The 24083-nt window shown below is 44.9% G+C and overlaps 1 protein-coding gene, 1 long non-coding RNA gene and 1 pseudogene across 5 annotated transcripts in view, besides 2 other annotated features; 1 reads left to right on the forward strand and 2 right to left on the reverse strand.

Annotated features, from left to right (window-relative positions):
- Positions 1261-1810: a silencer, noted in NCBI's record as "silent region_5049". NCBI's record gives its function as "represses an Ori minimal core promoter by ATAC-STARR-seq in GM12878 lymphoblastoid cells {active_cell/tissue: GM12878}" and the evidence as "EXISTENCE:reporter gene assay evidence [ECO:0000049][PMID:35858748]".
- Positions 1436-24083, forward strand: part of ATP6V0A2 (ATPase H+ transporting V0 subunit a2) — a 49403-nt gene continuing 26755 nt past the window's right edge. For 2 of the 3 annotated variants that reach the window (NM_012463.4, XM_024448910.2), the window contains exons 1-7: positions 1436-1765; positions 7706-7784; positions 11434-11531; positions 13737-13874; positions 15280-15368; positions 16866-16992; positions 23009-23091. In NM_012463.4, coding sequence (NP_036595.2) covers positions 1649-1765; positions 7706-7784; positions 11434-11531; positions 13737-13874; positions 15280-15368; positions 16866-16992; positions 23009-23091 — 731 coding nt within the window. In that variant the 5' untranslated portion in view covers positions 1436-1648. Of the gene's footprint in view, positions 1766-7705; positions 7785-11433; positions 11532-13736; positions 13875-15279; positions 15369-16865; positions 16993-23008; positions 23092-24083 lie in introns of those variants that run through there. The other variant, XM_024448911.2, reaches the window with a different exon arrangement.
- Positions 1849-12173, reverse strand: LOC105370042 (uncharacterized). 2 transcript variants are annotated; one of them, XR_945477.4, is made up of 3 exons: positions 12093-12173; positions 4583-4646; positions 1849-3817 (listed from the first exon to the last, which is right to left on the reverse strand). It is a non-coding gene; the product is annotated as an uncharacterized LOC105370042 (long non-coding RNA). The 2 variants fall into 2 exon arrangements; XR_945478.4 differs by having other exon boundaries at positions 3480-3565.
- On the reverse strand, positions 10301-10725 carry RPL27P12 (ribosomal protein L27 pseudogene 12; annotated as a pseudogene).
- Positions 10720-10900: a silencer, noted in NCBI's record as "fragment chr12:124206184-124206364 (GRCh37/hg19 assembly coordinates)". NCBI's record gives its function as "represses an EF-1alpha promoter that drives an FKBP-Casp9 reporter gene in an ReSE screen in phorbol 12-myristate 13-acetate-treated (for megakaryocytic differentiation) K562 erythroleukemia cells {active_cell/tissue: K562(+PMA)}" and the evidence as "EXISTENCE:reporter gene assay evidence [ECO:0000049][PMID:32094911]".

Here is a 24083-nt window from a genome sequence, read left to right on the forward strand (position 1 = left end):
TCTATGGTTTTAACTTTTTTAAGTTTATACATTTATGTATGCATTCATGAACTATTTATTGAGTGGCTACTATGTGCTGGGGCTTGGAGATACCACAGTGGCAGAAACAATGTCCCCACCTTGGTGGAGCTTCCATTCTAGCAGGGAAGACTGGCACTAACACACAGACAAGATAATTTCAGATGGTGGCAGGTGCAGTGAAGGAAATAGAACAAGGATGTGACTCCAGGGACAGTCTCAAGGAAGGGGATATGTAAGCAGAGACTCGACTGGGACAGCGGTGAGGTTGCGGCCTGGGGCGGGGGGCCACTGCTTCCCGGTCAGTGTGGGGAACACACACTGGGTGCTGTGTGATTCCATCGACAGGACAAGCCTGGAGGTGGCAAATTTAGCGAGACAAAATTGTCCTGTGGTGGCCAGGCCGGGCGGGAAGGGGAGACTGCAACTGAGCAGGAGGAGTCTTGCGAGGTCGGTGGGAAATGTTTGAAAACTGGATTGGGATGCTGGCTGCACACTCCAACTTCACGAAGAAGCCTAGGATCCCTCCGGGCGGCGGATCACGCCTGTAATCCTAGCGCTTTGGGAGGCCAAGGCGGGAGGATTGCTTGAGTTCAGGAGTTCGAGACCAGCCTGGCCAACATGATGAAACCCCTTCTCTATAAACATTTTAAAAACAAATTAGCCGGGTGTGATGGCGCGCGTCTGTAATCCCAGCTCCTCCAGAGGCTGAGGTGGGAGGATCGCTTGAGCTCAGGAGGTCAAGGTTGCAGCGAGCCGAGCTCGTGCTACTGCACTCCTCCCTGGGCCACAGAGGGAAACCCTATCCATAAAAAACCAGCAGCAGGGCCGGGCGCAGTGGTTCACGCCTGTAATCCCAGCACTGCGGAGGCCGAGGCAGGCGGATCACCTGAGCTCTGGAGTTTTGAGACCAGCCTGGCCAACATGGTGAAACCCCGTCTCTATTAAAAATACAAAAAAATTAGCTGGACGCGGGTGGCGCGCGTCTGTAGTCACAGCAACTGGGGAGTCTGAGGCTGGAGAATCGCTTGAACCTGGGAGACGGAGGTTGCAGTGAGCCGAGATCGCGCTACTGCACTCCAGCCTGTGGGACTGCGTGAGATTCCGTTTCTCTCTCTCTCTCTCTCACACACACACACACACACACACGCAGCAGCACAGGGTCGTGCACTAGGAACGGGTGAGCTTCGCGGCGTGCACACTCGGCGAGACTCCTCCAGGAAAGCCGGGGAGCCGCGCGGGATTTAGCTCTGCGTCCAGTCCGGCGGAGCGCCAGCTGCAGTGGTCGTACCCGCCGGGTTCGCGCTGGTTGGCCCTGCCGCCACGTCGTGCGGCGACAACCTCGGGCGTCCATTGGTCGGCCGGCGGGGGGGGCGGGACGCGGGGGCGGAACCGGAACCGGCAGTGGCTTGGGGGCGGGACCTCGCGGACTGCTGTGGCGGCAGCTGGAGCGGCGGCCGCGGTGGCAGAACCGGGGGCGGCCGCTGCAGTCTGGAGCCCCATAGTGCGGGGCCGCGGCCAGGCCACAGGAAGAGCTCGAGGCCCGGGCCGCACCGGCTGAGTGTGCGGGCCCGCGCGGCTCGGAGCCGCCGCCGCCCATCGAGCCCCTCCGGGCGCGGGTCGGCCCGCCATGGGGTCCCTGTTCCGGAGCGAGACCATGTGCCTGGCGCAGCTCTTCCTGCAGTCGGGCACGGCCTACGAGTGCCTCAGCGCCCTGGGCGAGAAAGGCCTGGTCCAGTTCCGAGACGTGAGTGTCGCCCGGGAGACGCGGGCCGCACCTGCTCTCCTGGCGCCCCCAATCCCGCGCATCGCTGGGGCCCTCCCGCGGGGAGCACCGAGGAAGGGCGCGCCCCGTCCCCATTGTCCAGACGGGGAAGATGACACCCCAGCTCAGCGGCCAAAGCTTCCCGGAGCGCGGGGCTGACTCCAGGGTCGCCGGCCGTCTGTGTGGTCGGCGGCTGCTCTGCCCCAGTTAGTTAGGATCGCCCGTGTGGTCTTCATCAGCTCCGGGCACCGAGCTCAGCGGGAGAACAAATCCCACAAAGGCCTCTTGGAGTCCTTTTGGAACTTTACGGGGGTTAGGGGGGCGCATTAACCAAATAAATAGGTCAACCAGAAAAGGTTTGCCATAAAGAAGAAACGGGGTGATGTGAAGGTGATTCGGGCGGGAGGTGAGTGTGAAGGGATTGTCGAGGAAGCCTCCCGGAGAAGGTGATATTTCAGCTGAGACCCAAATAGAAAGGAGCCAGCCGTGGGGAAGATCTGGGGAGAGGGTCCTTGTTGGAGGGAACAGGAGGAGCCCAGACAGAGCCAGAAATGGGAAGGAGCTGGATGTCATCTGCTTGAGGAGAGGGATTTTTGTGTTTTGGTCACTGATGCTTAATGCTGTACATACCATTGTGTGTAAGGACTTAAGAACTCAGTCATTGTTTGTCGAGTGGAAGCTGTCTCCCCAACAAGTAATAATAAACATTTGTTTGTCCATTTACTTGTTTATTGTTTGTCTCCACCAAGGACTGTCAACCTCTGAGAGTAAGTACCTTAACGCAGTCCTTGGCAGTCATTGGCATCGATAGGCATTTGTTGAATGAACAGACAAGCTTTTCTTGACTGCCCGCTATGTTCAGGCACTGTTTTTGGTGCTGGAGACTCGGTGGTGAGCAAGGCAGACACAGTCCCTGTGTTCCTGGAGCTTCCAGTGTGGGAGGAGACAGATTAAACACACTCTGATTATGAGCTGTGATAAGTGCTAAGAAGGCAAAGAACAGGGTGTGGAAGGGAGACCGTGAAGCAAGTACTTACTGACTGAATTGAAATCCACTCAGGCGAACATTTTATTTCCTGGCCACCACTTTCATCTCCTGACTGTTTCCCTTAATCTTCCTAAGGTGTCCTTAATTTCAAAAGGGATCAGCCCTACCCGAGATCTGATATCCATTGATATCAGATATCTAATACCAGATCAGCCCCATAAGGCAGTTGCAAAGTCATGGAGAGACTCCTGAGTGACAGGCGAGGGTGCAGGTAAGATGCAGGGCGGTTCCTGGTTCCTGGAGCCACTTCTGCAGTTGTACCCATTCACCTGATGGATGCTGCGCTGAGCTGTGAATAGCACCCAAAACATTCAGGCAACAGCTGCAGGTGCAGCAGGCTCCTACATTTGTAACAGGTAGATGTTTTCCTTCCGGTTAGTACTCAAGCCAAGACACTTATCACACTTCAGTCTTACAGGTTTGAGCAAACGTACTAATCACTATGAAGGTTCCAGTTTCAATAAGCGCCACTACCTCCAGTCATAGAGTGTACCTGGGATCCTTTTCAACTGAATGTCAGTGAAAGGAGAAGAAAGTGCTGTTCATCTTTTTCCAGAAGGAAGTAAAACTAAGGTTGCTGCGATGAGCTCTTGTGTGGTGCTAGGTTTTCAGTGTGTCTTCAGCCTGAGTTTCCTACTGACTTTGTGGTGACCAGATGGGATCACTGTTAGTAACCCTTGCAAGGGAAAGGGGGGCAGGTGGTGACTTCCGTGGTGACAGCTAGTGGGAAGTACCTGGAAAAGAAAGGTCATTCAGCTGATGGGGAGGACTCCCTGAAGGGAAAGTTCGCACTTTTGTTACAGTTCTCAGTCTAAGAACAGGTTTCCTCTTTAGTCCTTCAGCTGAAGTGGGAGTATCAATGGCTGTGAATATCAAAACAAACAGCACCAGATCTCCTCTGCCGGTTTTACTAGGTTAAATGTGCCTTGAATTGAATCTACATTAAAATGTACCTTATTCCATTAGCCTTGAATTAGGGTGCTGCCCTAAAAGGGAAAAAAAACCCAAAATTTATAAAAGAAACCACACAATAGAAAAAAAAAGTTAATATGTCTGGGCACGGTGGTTCACGTCTGTAATCCCAGCACTTTCGGAGGCCAAGGCGGGCAGATCACAAGGCCAAGAGTTCGAGACCATCCTGGCCAACATGGTGAAACCCTGTCTCTACTAAAAATACAAAAATTAGCTGGGCATGGCGGGGTGTGCCTGTAGTCCTAGCTACTCTCAGAAGGCTGAGGCAGGAGAATCACTTGAACCCAGGAGGCAGAGGTTGCAGTGAGCTGAGATCGCGCCACTGCACTCCAGCCTGGCAACAGAGCGAGACTCCGTCTCAAAAAAAAGTTAATATATGTAAGCTGGTGATGGTGGTGTATGTATGTGAAATCCATGTTTGTATTATTGCCACAGAAATTTACCTCTTTATAAATAAAGATTCTACTATTTGTAGAAACATCATGCCCATTTAGAGTTAAGTACTATTTGATATTGAAGGAAGAAAATGAAAGCTGAGAAGTAGTATCCTGTGACAGCTTTAGACACAGAACTTCCTTTCCAACAAGTTCCATAGAACTAGATTGTGTCTGAATCATTAGTAACTTGGAAGTGGTTACTTTTAGTTCGACCTCCAGAAATGAATGAGAAGGTGACAAACAGAAGTGAAATGAGAATTTTTACCTTTTTTCTGGTTCTTTTAAAAAAAAAGTCCCCAAAAAATGAACAAGAACTGAGTCAGACACTGAGTAGACACTTACCAGGTTGAGCAGTTTCATGTCAAGTTGTATCTTAACTGTTTCTTGAGAGTGCCCAGTACAAATCCTGGATGGAATAAAGATAAATTTCGTGTCTTAAATGGCTTTCAACATGAATGATATACTGTAAATTGTTGAAGTATGAAAGTGATAGATGACCATTGTGAGAAATGTGGAAAACATAAGAATAGTAACATACCTTGCATGATCCCAACGCCTAGAAATTAACTTTAACTTTTTGGCTAATACTGGACAATCAGCATTTCTCTAATAATGTTTAAAAATGTCCATATATATGTATTTTTATATAATTTGAACCACACTGAAAACATCCTAATCTGCTTTACACAGAAATCATGACTAACTTCCTAATTTTATTAAATATTCTTTTACAACTTTTTAAAATTGTTTTAAACTTTATATTATAAGTAGAGGGAAGAGTACAGTGTACCCCCATGTACCCATAAATGTAAACTTAGTTTTTTCTCACTTCCCAGACTAGATCATTTTGAAGCAAATCCAAGATATATAATTTAACTTTTCAACAAGTACCTCTAAAAGATGAATTTTTTTTCTTTTTTTTTTTTGAGATGGAGTCTCAATTCTGTCGCCCAGGATGGAGTGCAGTGGCGCGATCTCAGCTCATTGCAACCTCTGCCTCCCAGGTTCAAGTGATTCTCATGCCTCAGCCTCCTGAGCAGCTGAGATCACAGGCGCGCGCCACCACGCCTGGCTAATTTTTGTATTTTTAGTAGAGACGGGGTTTCACCATGTTGGCCAGGCTGGTCTCCAACTCCTGACCTCAAGTCATCCCCCCACCTTGGCCCCCCAGAGTGCTGGGATTACAAGCATGAGCCACCAGGCCTGGCCTAGAAGATAAAAAATTATTACCAACATTGTACCTGAAAATTTAAATAACATTTCTTAATATAATCAAATACCTGGTCATTTTTACACAACTTTATTGAGGTGTATGGTAGAGTTTACCCATGATTTTTAGAAAGTTTATGGAGGCCGGGTGCAGTGGCTCACACCTGTAATCCCGGCACTTTGGGAGGCTGAGGCAGCCACATCACTTGAGCCCACCAGTTTGAGACCAGCCTGAACAACATGGCGAAACCCCATCTCTACCCAAAATACAAAAATTAGCCGGGTGTGGTGGCACGTGCCTTTAATCCCAGCTACTCAGGAGGCTGAGGCAGGAGGATCGCTTGAACCTGGGAGGCAGAGGTTGCAGTGAGCTGAGATTGCGCCACTGGACTTCAGCCTAGGCGACAGTGAGATCCTGTCTCAAAAAAAAAAAAAAAGAGTTTATAGAGTCATGCATCCATTGCCACAATTGTTTTAGAACATTCCATCACCCCAGAAGATTCTTAATGCTCATTTACAGTTAATCCTTATTCCTACCCCCACCCCCCCAGCACCCACTAATCTGCTTGCTGCCTCTAGGGTTGTCTGGACATTCCATGTAAGTGGAATCGCACAGTATGTGGCTTCTTGTGTCTGGCTGCTTTCACTTAGTATGAAAGTCATCCAGGGTGGGCGTGGTGGCTCACGCCTGTAATCCTAGCATTTTGGGAGGCCGAGGTGGGCGAATCATCTGAGGTCAGGAGTTTGAGACCAGCCTGGCCAACATGGTGAAACCCCATCTCTACTAAAAATACAAAAATTAGCCGGGGGTGGTGGCACTTGGCTGTAATCCCAGCTACTCGGGAGGCTGAGGCAGGAGAATCGCTTGAACCTGGAAGGCGAAGGTTGCAGTGAGCCAAGATACTGCCAGTACGTTCCAGCCTGGGCAACAGAGCGAAACTCTGTCTCAAAAAAAAAAAAAAAAAAAAAAGAGAAAGTCATCCCTGTTGTTGCATGGGTCAGTAGTTCATTCCTTTTTATTGCTAAGTAGCATTCCATTGTGTGGATATAGACTGTAATTTCTTTTCTTTTCTTTCTTTCTTTTTTTTTTTTTTTTGAGACAGGCTCTTGCTTTGTCACCCAGGCTAGAGTGCAGTGGTGTGATCACTGCTCACTGCAATCTCGATCTCCTGGGCTCAAGCAATCCTCCTGCCACAGCCTTCTGAGCAACTGGGACCACAGGCGTGCACCACCAGGCCTGGCTAATTTTTTATTTTTTGGAGAGATGGTGTCTTACCATGTTGCCCAGGCTGGCCTCAAACTACTGGCCTCAGGTAGTCCTCCCACCTCAGCCTCCCAAATTGCTGGGATTATCAACACGAGCTGCTGTGCCTGGCTATAATTTCTTTAACTACGCTACTGTAATTTCTTGAACTAGTTTTCTATTGTTGGATTTTTGGGTTATCATTTTTTCTTTTTCCCTGAGATTGATGTTGTCATAGATTTTCATCTGTTTCCATAGCTTTTTCCTTAGGTTAAATTTTCTTCATGGGGTATTGCTGGGCAAATAATCATTTTCAGGATTTTTTCTTTTTTTGACCCAGGGTCTCACTGTGTCACCTGGGCTGGATTGCAGTGGTGTGATCTCAGCTCCATCCAACCTCTGCCTCTCGGGCTCAAGCAATTCTCGTGCCTCAGCCTTCCAAGTAGCTGGAATTACTTAGGTGCGCCACCATGCCTGGCTAATTTTTTTTTTTTTTTTGAGATAGTGTCTTGCCCTGTTGCCCAGGTTGGAGTGCAAATGGCACGATCTTGGCTCACTGCAACCTCCGCCTCCTGGGTTCAAGCAATTTTTCCACCTCAGCCTCCCGAGTAGCTGGGATTACAGGTACTTGCCATCATGCTTGGCTAATTTTTGTGTTTTCGTAGAGGTGGGATTTCACCATGTTGGCCAGGCTGGTCTTGAACTCCCGACCTCAAGTGATCTGCCCGCCTCATCCTCCCAAAGTGCTGGGATTACAGGCGTGAGCTACCGCCCCGGCCTAATTTTTGTATTTTTAGCAGGGTTGGGGTTTCACCGTGTTGGCCCGGCTGGATTTTCAGGCTTTTTTGGTAACAGTTGACAAATTGCTCTCAAGAAAAGTTGTGTCAGTTTATAGTTTCATTCAATAGTATACAAGAGTGTACATCCCCCAAACTTTGGTGATGTTTTATTTTTTACATAAAAGTATTTTTAAATTTTAGAAATTTAAACCATATTTTTCATCCTTTTCTCAGCTCAACCAGAACGTAAGTTCTTTCCAAAGAAAATTTGTTGGTGAGGTGAAGAGGTGTGAAGAGCTAGAGCGAATATTGGGTAAGTTTATTTTCTGATTTAACAACTTAAATAATTACCTTTATATAGGCAAACCTTGTTCGGTTTAAAAATATTGGAAAATATAGACAAGCAGAAAGGAAAAAAAGAAATTGTATTCTCATTCAGAAGTAATCACAGTTATGTAGGCATGTATTATTTTTCTGTATTTTTTTATTCATCTATAAAAGTAAAAATTTACAAACATAATGGCCTGGTTATTTTGTTGTTACCCTTGTTTTTTACTTAACAGTGCTTACTATAACATCTTTTCGTGTCAGTAGACATAGATATTTACCCATCATCGTTTTTGATGGCAGCATACTATTTGATTGTATTAATATTAATGTGCTGTGGCTTATTTAACCGATCCCTTGTAGTTTATTATAACTTAAAAACATTGTACTTGTTAATAAGTTACTTAATTTAAAATTTTTTCAAGGAACAAGGGAGGCGGGAAATGGAAGATAGAGTGATTGACAATAATTTCCTTTTTCTCAGGGCTTCCTTTGCCAGTGTGTTAGATCAGTGCTGATTGTTAACCATTTCAACTAAGCAGCCCAGGGCCACTTCTTTTATCTCTAAAGTCTTTACCATCTTAGTCTGGTACTAGTCATTATCAAATCAAGCCTTGACATTCTCACTGAAGTGGAGGGAAAATGACAGACAGTCAACTGAAGGACAAAGCTTGTTTTTTTTTTTTTTTGAGATGGAGTCTTGCTTTGTCACCTAGGCTGGAGTGCAGTGGCATGATCTTGGCTCACTGCAGACTCCGCCTCCTGGGTTCCAGCGATTCTCCTGCTTCAGCCGCCCTAGTAGCTGGGACTATAGGTGCGTGCCACCACACCTGGCTAATTTTTGTACTTTTAGTAGAGATGGGGTTTTACCATGTTGGCCAGGCTGGTCTTGAACTCCTTGTTAGGGACAAACCGCCCCAAAAAAGCTTCTTGGTACTGCCAACACTTCCCCCAAAGCTCTCCGTGCTGCCTACCCCTCCCCCTGAGCCCCTTTAACATTTCTAAGCCCTTATCTAGGTGCCCCAGTGAAGCCAGCAAACTTCACTTATCAGGCCTTCCTGCGATAAGCAAAACACAATTATAAACCATCCGGACCACACAGGGGGAGGTTGTGGGAAGCCTAAACAAACTTTGCCTACGGCCTCCTGTAAGTTCCTTCATTTAGCTGCTACTGTAAAGGTCACAAGGTGATACATGGCAAAGTTAACCAACAAACGACCCCAGGGTCTCTCTCCCCCGTATAAACCCCTCATTTTGTAAGTTCAGGGCTGCCTCCTCTGTCGTGGAGCAGCCGGCAGGTTCAATAAACTTACTCACCTGACTTTGGGTCTATTCTTCCTTTCTCTCGGCTGACCTTACACTCCTGACCTCAGGTGATCCACTGGCTTCGGCCTCCCAAAGGTCTGGGATTACAGATGTGAGCCACCACACCCGGCCTATTTTTTTTAAATTGGGGATTTTTAAGTGTAACAGGAAATTTTAGTCATTTGAAATCTAGTCCTATTCATATTGCTTGAGGTCCTAGTTATTTGTGTGGTTCATGTACGTTAGTGGCACCATATTCCTGTCTTTGCAACCTGGGTGAGTCATTGGATAGATGGTGTATTCAGAATAAGGTTTTTAAAGGCAGGGCAAATGTGATAACACATTAGGTATATCCAGGACTTCCTGTAGCTTAAACTGTTTCAAAAGAATGCAGGGCTGGGCACGATGGCTCACGCCTATAATTCCAGCACTTTGGGAGGCCAAGGTGGGAGGATCACTTGAGTCCAGGAGTTTGAGAGCAGTCTGGGCAACATACTGAGACCCTGTCTCCACAAAAAATAAAATTAGCCAGGCATGGTGACATGTGCCTGTAGTCTTAGCTACTCAGGAGGCTGAGGTGGGAGAATTGCTTGAGCCCAGGAGTTTGAGGTTATTGTGGGCCAGGATGACACACCACTGTACTCCAGCCTGGGCAGCAGGGTATGACCCCATAAGAATGCAGACTTAAAACAGTGAAAAAGGACCTCTCAAGGAAATTTAGGTGTACGCCAGGCATGGTGGTGCACATACCTATAGTCTCAGTTACTCTGAAGGTAGAGGCAGGAGGCTTTCTTGAGCCCAGGAGTTCAAGGCTAGCGTGGGCAACATAGTGAGACCCCTGTCTCTTAAAAAAAAAAAGAATAAATTGAAGTATAAATTGGTTAAAACAATTTGCGTTCATTTCTAGAAACCTCTTAGACCCAGTGCTTCCTTTGCTATCTTGGTAAGACAGTTTCTTTTCTTTTTCTTTTTGTTTTTCCTCCTTACTTCTTTACCTGCCTCTCTCCCTCTGTAAACCAGTTAGTAACACTTCTAAATATTAGGCCTGATAATGACTAACAGATATTGTGACTTTTAGCCTAAGGAAAGGGATGCTTCATGGAATCGAAAACATAAACCAAATAAAGTAGTTAGTTTTGGCTGGTGTACTATTAGTTTCATGAATCTAGGTGTTTTGTTTTGTTTTGTTTTGTTTTGTTTTAATGACTGAAACAAAAAACATCTAAAACCACAGCTTCTGGAAGAACCACTTGTTCTTGCCAGTCTTGTTCCACTCTTTGAACTTGATCTTGGCCTCCCACTGGGCCTTGCATTTAAGAGCAGGGTCTCTGAAAACCTGGTGGTTTTGTCTAAGGGGATGGTCACAGGGTACTCTGTGGGCATGAGGTCATTATAGTTATAAACCTTCACAAAAGACTTGACCTTTGACCTCTTGGCAATCTTCTTGCCCATGGCAGCTGTCACTGTGGGAATAATGGTCTTTTTTAGCCACCAGAGGGTGGCTGCAGGTGTGGTCTGAGGTGCCATCATCAGTTTTCTTCATGAGGATTGGCTTTGTGTCCAGAGTAGTGTCCGGCCACGACTGGCACCATTTTCCCAGGTTTCATGAACTTGCCCATTTCTAGGGCTGCCCTGACACTTGCCCCCCAGGCTGCCGAGGGCAGCAATTGCAAGACCCAGCCAGGCTTCTGAATCTAGTTTTTAACTTCAGTGGTGAAACAGTGCAGGTTGTCCTCAGCCACAGCCTCAGGGCTGACTGGGAGCTGCAAGAGAGCCTGGCTCTTGGTGCTGGGTGGGTTTCCTGGTAGTGGTTGTGATTTTCTTGTTGGACTGATGGATGCCCTTTTCTTTCTGAGGGCATCTGCGAGAAATCATGTTGCCAGCTCCCATAGGGGCTATTGTAGGTCTATCACTTGGGTAATTCCTGCACTTCCAAGTGCGCCCCTAACCTCTGCTTCATTCTGCCCCTGTAGATGGCTGCGACTCAAAAGTTCTTTCACTAGAATATTAGAAATGAAAAAAATGGGTGGAATTTCAGAAAAGGTTTATCCAGGTTGTTGTTCATTCTATTTATTTATTTTTTAAGTCACTAAGAAATAGAAGAGGTTGTTGTTTATTTTGTCACTGCATGCAGATCTCTCTAGGCAGCATTATTTTTGGAAACAAGGTTGCAAAAAGTGACCAGTAAGTCAGTTGGGACAAGCAAGATTTTTGTGCATTTAGACATTGATTTTTAGATGGCTTGGGAAACATTGGGCTTTAAAATGTTTCTGACTGAAATGTATTATAGTACATTTTAGTATCTAATTGTTTAACTTTTATTTTCACAGTGTATTTGGTACAGGAAATTAATAGAGCTGATATTCCCCTTCCTGAAGGAGAGGCCAGCCCTCCTGCGCCACCCCTGAAACAGGTTCTAGAAATGCAGGTAACTTGCTTCTGACGAAGCTGGTTGCAGCCATTGATCTTGGGGGCTGCTTACTTACTTATTTCATGTTGTCTAATGCTTTTCTGCCTTTCTTCTCAAAACTATGGAAGATGGTGATCTCTCTAGGCAGAGAGATTAAAGACCGCTATTATGATTAACCCTCAGTAATAGATTATCTGTGTTAAATTTTAACAGTAATTCAGTTTTCTTTTACAGTGTAAGGCATATGCTTCCTTTCCAGGTGGTGGTGAACAGAGGCAACAAGAATCAGGCCATCAAGCCTGATTGATGGATCAGAACAGTTCATGATCCTGTACTGTTTCAGAAAGCTCATCCCAGGGTCACCCATGCCTTAGCTGCCTCTTCTTGTGCAAGGAATTGAGGCTTCGGTGTTGTGCCTTCACAGTCCTCCCACATTTACCCTGGCCCTTCCCCTCTAAATTTTGGAAGCTGGTATGCAGTCCATGGGTTGTCTCGGGTGGGCAGCAAGCAGCGTTCTGTCACCCTGAGTTCCCTGGCTGGTGTGCTGGGGATACATGTGTCCCCGGTGAGAACACTCACCTGTGCTGCTTATTAGCATCCTCGGTGAATTCGTTCCTCACCCTGTGAAGTAGGCTGGAGCTCTTGATAACTCTTCTAAAACAATTATCGTTGTGTAACTGAAGCCATTCAGTTGCGGGCTCCTCTGTTTGTTTATTCGGGAGGAAGTCTTTCATTACTTGGTGCAGGAGACTCCAGAGAGAACTCTCCAACCAGATGAGTAACAGCAGTCATCTGGATTGGCCTGTTCGATGGGTCGCTTGTGATGTAATTACAAACATAGTGATGACTGTGTACAGTGCTTGTAAGGCAAAGCAGAAGTAATGAATATAGTATATTAAGTGATTTGTTTGAATACAAGTTTTCATTGACTCAATGATTTGCCTTACGGATTTTTGCTTCTGTTATTTTAATACTTAAGTATTTTTAAGGATGTTTAGTATGTAACTAATTATTAAAGATTCTCATGAATTTTTTTTTTTTTTTGAGACAGAGTCTTGCTCTGTCGCCCAGGCTAGAGTGCATGTAGTGGTGCGATCTCGGCTCACTGCAGCCTGTGCCTCCCGGGTTCAAGCAATTCTCCTGCCTCAGCCTCCCAAGTAGCTGGGATTATAGGCACGTGCCACCATGCCTGGCTAATTTTTGTATTTTTAGTAGAGATGGGGTTTTACCATCTTGGCCAGGCTGGTCTCGAACTCCTGACCTCGTGATCCACCCACCTTGGCTTCCCAAAGTGCTGGGATTACAGGCGTGAGCCACCACGCCTGGCCAATTGTCATGAATTTTTATCCTCAATTAATTGTGTAAATGTGAGTGCATAGTAACTCATATGCTAGAGACTAGGAAAATAAGTTAGAAAAGATTATCTAAATATATTCTGTGTTGCAAAAAAAGGAAATGTAGACTTAAAGAGGAAGAGTCTTTGATGTGTGATATGAATAAGCAGACAAAGGAAATCCGAGAAATGACAGCACCTGTGGTTAGAGACGAGGGCCAGTCTTGGGGGTCTCACGCTCATCACAGCCTTCGGAATGTTTTAGCTAATATGTGGTGTGAACTTCACAGAAATTACCTGAATTAATATGAAACAATAAATGAGCCTATTTATTTATTTACTTTGAGAAGGAGTCTTGCTCTGTCACCCAAGCTGGAGTGCAGTGACACGATCTTGGCTCACTGCAACCTCCATCTCCTGGGTTCACGTGATTCTTCTGCCTCAGCCTCCTGAGTAGCTGGGATTACAGGCACATGCCACCATGCCCAGCTAATTTTTTTGTATTCTTAGTAGAGACAGGGAGGCCGAGGCGGGTGGATTACCTGAGGTCAAGAGTTCAAGACCAGCCTGGCCAACATGGTGAAACCTCGTCTCTACTAACAATACAAAAAAAAATTAGCTGGGCGTGGTGATGCGCACCTGTAGTCCCAGCTACTCGGGGAGGCTGAGGCAAGAGAATCGCTTGAACCCAGGAGGTGGAGGTTGCAGTGAGCCGAGATCATGCCACTGCACTCCAGCCTGGGCGACAGAGGGAGACTCCATCTCAAAAAAAAAAAAAAGAAAAAAACAAAACAAAAAAACCCACTGTTTTTGGTATACTGCATGAAGATTATTGGAATTACACTTGGAACTAATTACTACCCTCTTAAGTAACCATTGTTTTGTTTTAGGAGCAGTTGCAGAAGCTCGAGGTTGAACTGAGAGAAGTCACTAAGAACAAGGAGAAACTGAGGAAAAACTTGCTGGAACTGATAGAGTACACTCACATGCTGAGAGTGACAAAGACCTTTGTGAAACGCAATGTTGAGGTACTGAACAGCTCGTGAGGAAATACAGCTGTTTTTATAAACAGCTTTTTATAAAAATCTCATTCCCATAGGCTGTGTATTTTGCTATTAGTTCATATAGATATGTTGCTTCTTTTAAGAGATTAAATTTATTTATTTATTTAATTTTATATTTTGTTTTTGAGACGGAATTTTGCTCTTGTTGCCCAGGCTAGAGTGCAGTGGCACAATCTCGGCTCACTGCACCCTCCGCCTTCCGGGTTCAAGAGATTGTCCTGCCTCAGCCTCTCGAATAGCTGGGATTACAGGCGCCCGCCACCACGCCTGTAATTTTTTGTATTTTTAGTAGAGATGGGGTTTCACCATGTTGGCCAGGCTGGTATCAAACTCCAGACCCAGTTGATCCACCTTCCTCGGCCTTCCAAAGTGCTGGGATTACAGGAGTGAGCTACCGCGCCCAGATTTAAGAGATTAAATTTAAACCTTGGTTTTATTTTTCAGTTGGATTATATGACTTTAAATAAAGTTTTAAGAGCCATTTCCTGTGTTGGTTGTTTTCAGCAATTACAATACTAAATATTTATAAGATGGTTTAGTTTGTGGTTGAAAAAAATTTTTATGAGCATGAGAAAAAAATTGAATGAAGGATGTTGAACTCTAAAATTTACTTTTTCCAAATTGCTAAGTAAAGGAAGTAAAAGAATAATCTATAATTTCTAAGACTAGGTCAGACACAGTGGCTTACACCTGTAATCCCAGCACTTTGGGAGGCCAAAGCTGGAGGATGGCTTGAGCCCAGGAGTTCAAGACCAGCCTGAACATAGTGAGAATTAATATGAGACCTTGTCTATACAAAAAATAAAAAATTAGCTGAGCGTGGTGGTGCATACTTGTAGTCCCAGCTACCAAGGAGGCTGAGGTGAGAGGATCATTTGAGCCCAGAAGTTTGAGGCTGCAGTGAGCTATGATTGCGCCACTGCACTCCAGCCTGGGCGACAGAGTGAGACCCTGTACCCTGTATCTAAAAAAAAAAAAAAAGAAAAAAAATTATAAGAATAAAGAATAGTCCATGTAGTAGCACCTTATGGAGCTAAGTATAGAAGAGACAAGTGCATCTGTTCCAAACTTAGTTTCACTTGATATGATAGTGACCTTTGATAAAGTTACTCTATCTTGGATGAAGGCAATGAACTAAATTATAACTGTCTTTTATGTAAATGTCTTCAATTGGCTTACAAATAAAGGATGGGGAAGTTATCTTTTCATTTATGAGGATTGAGTTATAAATCTAAGTTACCTCAGAAGTCTTTGCACCCAGATCTAAGTAGTTAGTTAGGATGCCCTATAAACTTGTTTGAAAATTTGACATGAGAAATAAAGTGTCACTTTTAATGAGACACACTTGGTTTCATATGTTTATTTCTAGTTTGAACCCACTTATGAAGAATTCCCTTCCTTAGAGAGTGATTCTTTGTTGGATTACAGCTGTATGCAGAGGCTGGGAGCAAAACTGGGGTAGGTGACAAGGCCTGGGGTGTCAGGCTTCATACTGCCCTTCTTGTAAAAGGCAGATGAGCTCCATAGAAGGGATGAATGGAGACCATTTTAAAGCCTAGGGTTGAATGAAACATAGTGAATATTTGTTTAAGAAACACTGTATTCCTGTACTTGTTGAGCTGAATTACTCAGCTGTATTGACTTTTTTACTCAACACAATGGAAATTTCTTTTGGTATAATGAGCTAGAAAGAAACAACATTTACGTGATTCAGTGTTACTTCTATAAGCCTAAAACAATTGGTCATTCAGGCATCAAATCCTGTCTAGTAGAAACTTGGTGGCTAAACCGAGTTGGTTAGTTTTTTTATTAATCATATTTTAAAGATCTCCTGCTGCTGTTTATTCTTGCTGCCTACTGAAACTAGTGGTAATTTGTTTCCTCGTGCGATTTGTGATTTTTAAAATTATTATGAACTCATATTTCACAGTTCCTGATCTGAAGGAATTCAGTGATATTTAGTTTGAGGATGTTTTCCTCCAGAGAGAATTTGTTTTGACATTTGTCAGGTACCTGGGAGTGCTCTGTCAACCTGGAATCATTTATATTTTTCTCAGCATTGAGATTTTTTTGTTGATTTGTTTTTTGACTGTGCCAGGAATGTGAATTTAAGCCTCAAACCTGAGTGAATTTTAACCTGTGGTTATAAATTCTTAGGGAAGACTTCTCCCTCCATCTAGAACCAAAATAGAAATAAACAAGTTTACATGCAGGCTCCAGGCTCCTTTGCAAGGTAGATTTTTTTTCTGGTCCATCCCTTCACTGAGGGTGTAGCTCTTTGTGCATGGAGCAGTCCCAGCTGGAGAGGTGAGTCAGTTGTATCTGCTCACCTTATCTAGACCCAGTGCCTGGCTCCTGCATCCCATGCTGGCCTTAAACTCAAGTTCTTAAGATACGGGGTTCAGTGTAATAATCAGGACAGCTGTGAGGTCCTGTTTTCCCTTTGGATTCCAAGAATTTCTCTCTTTTTTTTTTTTTTGAGGCAGAGTCTTGTTCTGTCGCCCAGGCTAGAGTGCAGTGGCCCTCTAGCAACCTCCGCCTCCCAGGTTCAAGCGATTCTCCTGCCTCAGCCTCCCGAGTAGCTGGGATTATGGGTGCCTGCCACCACGCCTGGCTAATTTTTGTATTTTTAGTAGAGACAGGGTTTCAGCATCTTGGACAGGCTGGTTTTGAACTCCTGACCTTGTGATCCACCCGCCTCGGCCTCCCAAAGTGCTGGGATTACAGGCATGAGCCACTGTGCCCAGCCAAGAATTTCTCTTTATTACAAGCTCATCTCTACCTTTAAAAAGAAGTTTCAAAAATATTCTGACCAGCACCTGAGATGTTTTGCAGTTGGAGGGCTCTCAGGATGTCTTCACCACTTGGTAGAAATGAAGTCTTCATCATTCTTAATGTAGTTTGATAACATTTATTGCTTTCAGTTGACTACAGGTTGACTTTACTGTCTCACAGATTTGTGTCTGGCCTAATTAACCAAGGAAAAGTGGAAGCATTTGAAAAAATGTTGTGGAGAGTCTGCAAAGGGTACACCATCGTGTCCTATGCAGAACTGGATGAATCCCTTGAAGACCCTGAAACAGTGAGTAAATGTCACCATCACCTTTTAGCAATGACGGACTAACAGCAGAGTTGGAGATATGGTAGAAAGAATGTTTTTCTCCTGAACCATTTGATAATAAGTTGTTAACCTGATGCCTTATCTCTTCAACCACGTGTAGTGTGTATAGTTCCTGAAATCAGGGACATTGTCTTATATTGCCATCACATGACCATCAGTCAGGAAATGAATGTAGATACATTACTATGTCCTGAGCCTTGAATCTCATTCAGGTTTCACCAGTTGTCCTAGTATGGTCAAAGCAAAGAATGTAATTTAGCATTGCGTGTTGGATTTAGTTGTCATGTCTCTCTCTTTTTTTAAACTTTCTTTTTTTCTTAAGGAGATGGGGTCTTGCTGTGTTGCCCAGGCTGGTCTCAAACTCCTGGCCTCAAGCAATCCTCCCACGTAGGCCTCTCAAAGCCTCCCAAAGTGTTGGGATTACAGGTGTGAGCCTCCTCACCTGGCTTTTTTTTTTTTTTTTTTAACTTTTTATTTTTGGTAGAGATGGGGATCTTAACTATGCTGCCCAGACTGGTCTTGAGCCATCCTCCTGCCTTGGCCTCCCAAAGTGTTGGGGTTACAGGCATGAGCCACTGTGCCAGGCCTGTCCTGTCTCTCTGATCTCCTTCATTCTGGGACAGTTTCTCAGACTTCCCTTGGCTTTTGTGACCTTGACATTTTAAAATACTGCAAGTTTTTTTGGTAGCGTGTCTCTGGGTTTGGGTTTCTCAGGTATCTTCTCATGAGTTGACTCAGGTCACGTGTCTCTGGCAGGAGCGTTGCTGAAGTGAGGCTGCATTCTTCTCATTGCACCGTCAGGTGCCACATGTTTCTGTTTGCTCCATTACTGGTCGTGGTCCCTCTGATCACTTGATTAGTTCCATTACTGGTCATGGTCCCTCTGATCACTTGATTAGTTCCATTACTGGTCATGGTCACTCTGATCACTTGATTAGTTCCATTACTGGTCGTGGTCGCTCTGATCACTTGATTAGTTCCATTACTGGTCGTGGTCCCTCTGATCACTTGATTAGTTCCATTACTGGTCGTGGTCACTCTGATCACTTGATTAAGGCACTTCTCTTTAGACTTCGCTGTGAAGTTACTCTTTTTTTTGTGTTTGAAACTGTAAATATCCTATTCTTCATCAGGTTTTCAGCTTCCTCATTTATTTCCTATTTTATTTGATGGGTTCCTGTTCCTTTAATTATTTATTTTGATATTCACATTCTCCTAGATTTGGCCAGTTGGAATCCATTCAGGCTGGCTTTTATATCCATTTTACATGTTCCCATCACTTTTTGAGCACTTGTTTGTACAACAGGATGTCCAGATGCATGTTGCAATTCCTCTCACACGGCTCTGGAATCAACTGTTTCTTCAAGGAGGCTGTTTTTTTTTTTGAGTGCAAATCTTGGTATTTTGAAGCCAAGATGTGGCTTCTGGGTGTGCACATTGTTACTGAGGGGTTGCTTTTCCTTGGCTGTGTCAGAGTAGCTTGGGGACACACACAAAAGCACATGCACATATACATTTACAGCTGTGGGCCAGTTACTCTCCCCCAACCCCATCCATCCCCATGTACATACCTAACAGCTGTGGGGCCGAATGGTTCAGAAGGGAGGGTGGAGGCAGCGGGGAGAGACAGAGTCATAATCACCCTTAGGATATCTGTTTTTTAAACTTCAAAGTAAAAATAACTGTTGTTTTAAATGAGGATGAACTGCTGATCTACTAAAGGTGGAAAAGGAACTTGGTTTTCTTAATTTTGAGGAAAGGTTGTTTTTTTTCTAGGTTGGCCTCAGGAATTTTGGCTGTAAGATTAATATACATCTCATAGTAGTTTTGACGCATAAAGAGAAATTTGGCTGTGATTGATTGATTGATTGATTTTTACTTTTTTAGATGGAGTCTCACCCTGTCGCCCAGGCTGGAGTGCAGTGGCATGATCTCAGCTTACTGCAATCTCTGCCTCCAGGGTTCAAGCAATTCTCCTGTCTCAGCCTCCCGAGTAGCTGGGACTATATAGGCGTGGACCACCACATCTGCTGAATTTTTTTATTTTTAGTAGAGATGGGGTTTCACCATATTGAAACACCATCAGGAGTTAGGTCTTTTTTTTTTTTTTTTTTTTTTTTTTTTGAGACAGCGTCTGGCTCTGTCGCCCAGGCTGGAGTGCAGTGGCGCGATCTCGGCTCACTGCAAGCTCCGCCTCCTGGGTTCACGCCATTCTCCTGCCTCAGCCTCTCAAGTAGCTGGGACTACAGGAGGCCGCCACCGCTCCCGGCTAATTTTTTGTATTTTTTAGTAGAGACGGGGTTTCACTGTGTTAGCCAGGATGGTCTCGATCTCCTGACCTCATGATCCACCCGCCTCGGCCTCCCAAAGTGCTGGGATTACAGGCGTGAGCCACCACACCCGGCCAGGAGTTAGGTCTTGAACTCCTGACCTCAGGTGATCCACCCACCTCGGCCTCTCAAAGTGCTGTGATTACAGGCAGGAGCCACCGCGCCCAGCCTGTGATTTATTTTTGGTTTTCTGAAATAAAAATCTAATCCGTTTGAAATCTAATCAGTTAAGCCCTTCATTAACCACTCACTTGTAATATTTTCTACTTTTTTGTGGCTTTTGTAACTGCCAGTGACCATCGTTAATTATCCTTCAGTTGTGACCTTGATGACTTTTCTATTTCAAGCTGATGATTAAAACTAAGATCAAAACTGTTCTGAAGTAGCATTTACATATTTTTTGAGTTTTTTCTTTATTAAGAGAAAATATCAGTAATTCTCATGCGAGCATTTACTCAAGTTAAAATTGTTTTTTAATAGAATTTGAAAGTTCTCTTGTGCCTCTGCAACCTCCACCTCCCGGGTTCAAGTGATTCTCCTACCTCAGCCTCCCAAGTAGCTGGGACTACAGGTGCACACCACCACTCCTGGCTAATTTTTGTATTTTTAATGGAGACGGGATTTTACCATGTTGGCTAGGCTGGCCTTGAACTCCTGACCTCAAGCGATTGCCTGCCTTGGTCTCTCAAAGTGCTGGGATTATAGGCATGAGCCACCATGCCTGGCCTCTTATGCCAAATTTTTATGGAATATGTTAAAGGGCAGTAAACATCTGTGAAGGAATACAGAGAATGGATAGATGTATATCTTGAAAATACAATCCCTGTCCCCACGGTTATAAAGAAAATGCATGTCCATTATAGAAAATTGGGAACAATGTAGAAAACAAGAAGAAAAAGAAGTCCCTCGCAGTCTCCTATTCTGAGCCACTGTTTACATGCCAAGTGTGTTCTCTCAGTCTTTCTCTGGGTAAGATAGGGGTATTTTATCTGGTAACTTTTACTCAGGTTCTAGGATTTGTTTATAGTGTCAGGTTTACTGTCTTTTGGGTTCAATGTCTGACCCTCTTGAAGTTATTACAGACCTTAGAGACTATTTTTAGCCATTTTCCCCCATTGGTGTTTCTAAGTGCTGACCATTCTCTCTGCATCAAAGCTAGACATGGGCGCTTTCTTCGGTTGTATAGATTGTGTTTTTCTGTTGTGTGTGGCATTTCTTCTGCCTTGTGCCTTAAGTGGTTGTGTTCCTTGACACACTACTATGTTGCCCAGGCTGGTCTTGAACTCCTGGGCTCAAACGATCCTCCTGCCTCTGCCCAGCAAAGTGTTGGGATTACAGGCCTGGGCTCAAACGATCCTCCTGCCTTGGCCCCCTGAAGTGTTGGGATTACCATTCCCAGCCTCTTTTTCCTGGTTCTAACTCTTTTCTGACAGTGTGAAGTCAGCTTCCATTATCCTCAGTGTGTCTAGTGGGTTGCTCAGTTAACTGACTTATTCATTCATTGTATTCATTCTCCCAGCCACATCCTCCCTCTCCTCCTCCTGCCATCCCCTCCCTCCCACCACCGCCTGCCTGTGCTATGCTGTAGCTCCCCAGTCTGTGCTCCTGTTCCCTGGGCCCAGGGCTCAATTTTTGGACAGCTTCTCTCTTCTTTCTGCCTTTAGAGATCTCACATAATTTTATGATTTTAAGTACCATGCCCCAAATGTGTATATCCCTAGCTTGGACCTGTCCCCAGAATACTAGACTTTTATGTCTGTCTACTCCATATCTCCTTTTAAGTATCTGGAAGACCGTTTCTGCTTTTGCCTAAAACTGAACATCTGATCTTTCTTCCCAGACCTGCCCTTCCAGACCCATTGATCTCACTGCGCAGGCTGAAAGCCCTGGGCTTCTCCCCACTCTTCTCTGTTTCTTGCGTCTCACTTAAATCCCTCAGCAGATCTGGTGGCCATGTCTGCTAAATAGAGAGTCCCGCCGCCTCTCCTCGCTCTTCCTCCCTCCTGGTCCAGGTCTCGTCCCACACTTGCCTCGCCTGGCTGGGCCCCTGCTCCTGCCTCTGCCTTAGCCTGGTCTCTTCTCCTGGCATCCAGAATGATCCACAGGAAACCACAGTCAGATCATTTCATTCCTGTACTCAAGACCCTCCAGGGGCTTCCTGTTTTCCTCAGCAACAGCCCTGTGGAGCCGCACAATGGGCCTGTGGCCCTCGTCATTCCTCAGAGCTGTGTTACTACATCCCTCCCCGGCGGTGCTGGCCTCCTCGAGTCTCCTGACTGTGCTTCTGTGTGTACTCCTCTGCTTGGAAGTCTCTTCTCCCAGTGGCCATGGGGCTCGCGTCCTCACCTCCTGCATTTTTTTTTTTCCATTTACCCTGACTTGAAGCTCACCTGCACGTCTTTATGCTCAGATGTCACCCTCTCGGGGAGATCTTCCTTGCCCATCCTATGTGAGATCACAGTGCCCAAGCCCACCCTCCCTCCCTCCCGTCTCCTCATCCTGCGTCTGTTCTTTATAGCACTTACCTCTACCTGGCGTACTTTCTTTGTTTCTTTTGCTGTCAAGTTGAATATAAGTTTAAGTTCCCTTCCCCTCCCAGGTCAGGGATTTTTGTCAGTTTTCTTCACTGCTGTATCCCTAGCACCTATAATAGTGCCTATTCAGTTTTTATAGAATTCTGTTTTGTTGGATACTTGTAAATACAGGGTGATTCTTATTATTTACAGTAGTTATGCTTCATAAAGTCACTGAGGGCTGAGCACGGTGGCTCATGCCTGTAATCTCAGCATTTTCGGAGGCCGAGGCAGGTGGATCACCTGAGGTCAGGAGATCGAGACCAGCCTGACCAACAAGGAGAAACCCCCGTCTCTACTAAAAATACAAAATTAGCTGAGTGTGGTGGTGCATGCCTGTAATCCCAACTACTCGGGAGGCGGAGGCATGAGAATTGCTTGAACCCAGGAGGTGGAGGTTGCGGTGGGCCGAGATTGTGCCATTGCATTCCGGCCTGGGCACCAAGAGAGAGACTCTGTCTCAAAAAAAAAAAAAAAAAAAGTCACTGAAATCTCTGAATTACCAACTGTGGAAAAACTCACTGCTCCTAGGGGAAGTACGGGAGTTGAGTCATTTACATTGAGCTCCCAGCCAGCAGCTCTGTGACTCGAGCCCGAACGAAGTGTCCCTAACACACGCCACATCTCTGTCAGGGACATCACAGCTGTCTTGTGCTCAGGACACCAGACTGCACCTCAGCCCTACACTCGGGGCTGTTTATACCGTGAAATCACCAAAAAAAGCACAGAAGTGTGAAAAACATGATACCAAACAGACTCTGAAAAGGACACTTGGTGATAGTCTGAGAGCAGAGATGGGAAGGGAGAGCGTCACCTTGTTGGACTTTACCTGGGAACGCGGGTGTCGGGTGCCTAAAAGTTTTGGCTGCTCTGCACATGACTGGAAGCGCTCCGTGGATTGGTTTGGGGCTGTTACTACAAGTAGGTGAATTCGTAATTACAGAATCCTCAAATAAGGAGTATTGACTGTATTGAATGAGTGAATGAATGAACGCTTTGACAGTGTTTGAGCTGCCGAAGTTCTAGAAGTTTATACACGCAGAAATAACACTTATCCTTATTCATTCTTTGTAGGGGGAAGTCATAAAATGGTATGTCTTTTTAATATCCTTTTGGGGAGAGCAGATTGGCCACAAGGTTAAGAAGATATGTGATTGGTAAGAAAAAGAAACATTTCATTTCATTTATGTCTTTATATTCAGTCACCTCTAGTTTTCCTTCAACATCCCTCTGGAGTCAGAAATAGAGTGGCTGCTAGTTTTTGTTATATGATTCTTTGCTGCACTGCCAAGTTCTTAAACATTTAATTTGTCATCTCTCTTACCAATGCATTACTTAAAATAATTTAAAAGTAGAGACTGTGTTAATAATATTCCCAGAATTGACTTTTTTCCTTGGAGATCAGGGCTTCAGATTGGTTGAAAAAGGAATAAAGTTTTTATATGTTGTGACTTCATGTTGCTTTGAGCTACCAGTCGGGCTTACCTGTCATCACTGAGCATGTGCATCTCTTCTGTCCTGGGTACCCTGGGGCAGGGGTGTGGCGTGTGGTGAGGAGGAGGCGCTCAGGGGCCTGTCTGGATGCAGAGCCTCCCTGTGTCGCTGTCTCACTGGACTCACTTGGACAAGTGACCAAGCCTCAGTTTCTTCATCTGTAAAAGGGGAGAGTGATTGCTTTCTTATAGGTCTTTTAGGACTAAATGAAATGATCAGGTAAAAGACATCAGTTCGGCATAAGCCATCAGTAATTTTGAGTTGTGGTACAACAATAATCTGTGACTTAACTCCTGTCAGCAAATGGGAACATAAGCAAAAGCCAAACAAAGTCAGAAAACTCCTTTGCTTTCTTCCCCCCATGGACAACTCAGCTTGCCTTGTTTCTTGCAGGGTGGAGGGGGGTTTGGGCATTTTCTGTTTACTAGAATTTGGTTCTCAATTGGTGGAATAGAAAGTAATTTCAGGTGTCACCTGGATAAACCTTTTATTTTCATAGATAGATATTTGTTTTACTGCAGATTAAAAAACTATACCCAGCTCAGCAAACCCATGATTTCACAGATATTGTTGCTTAGGATAAGGCTAGAATAGGTATTTAATTTTTCAAAGGCAGAACTTAAAGAAAAATAAAGGTATGGTGTTAACATATGAA

This window comes from Homo sapiens, chromosome 12, assembly GCF_000001405.40.
Source record: "Homo sapiens chromosome 12, GRCh38.p14 Primary Assembly".
Lineage (NCBI taxonomy): Eukaryota > Metazoa > Chordata > Mammalia > Primates > Hominidae > Homo > Homo sapiens.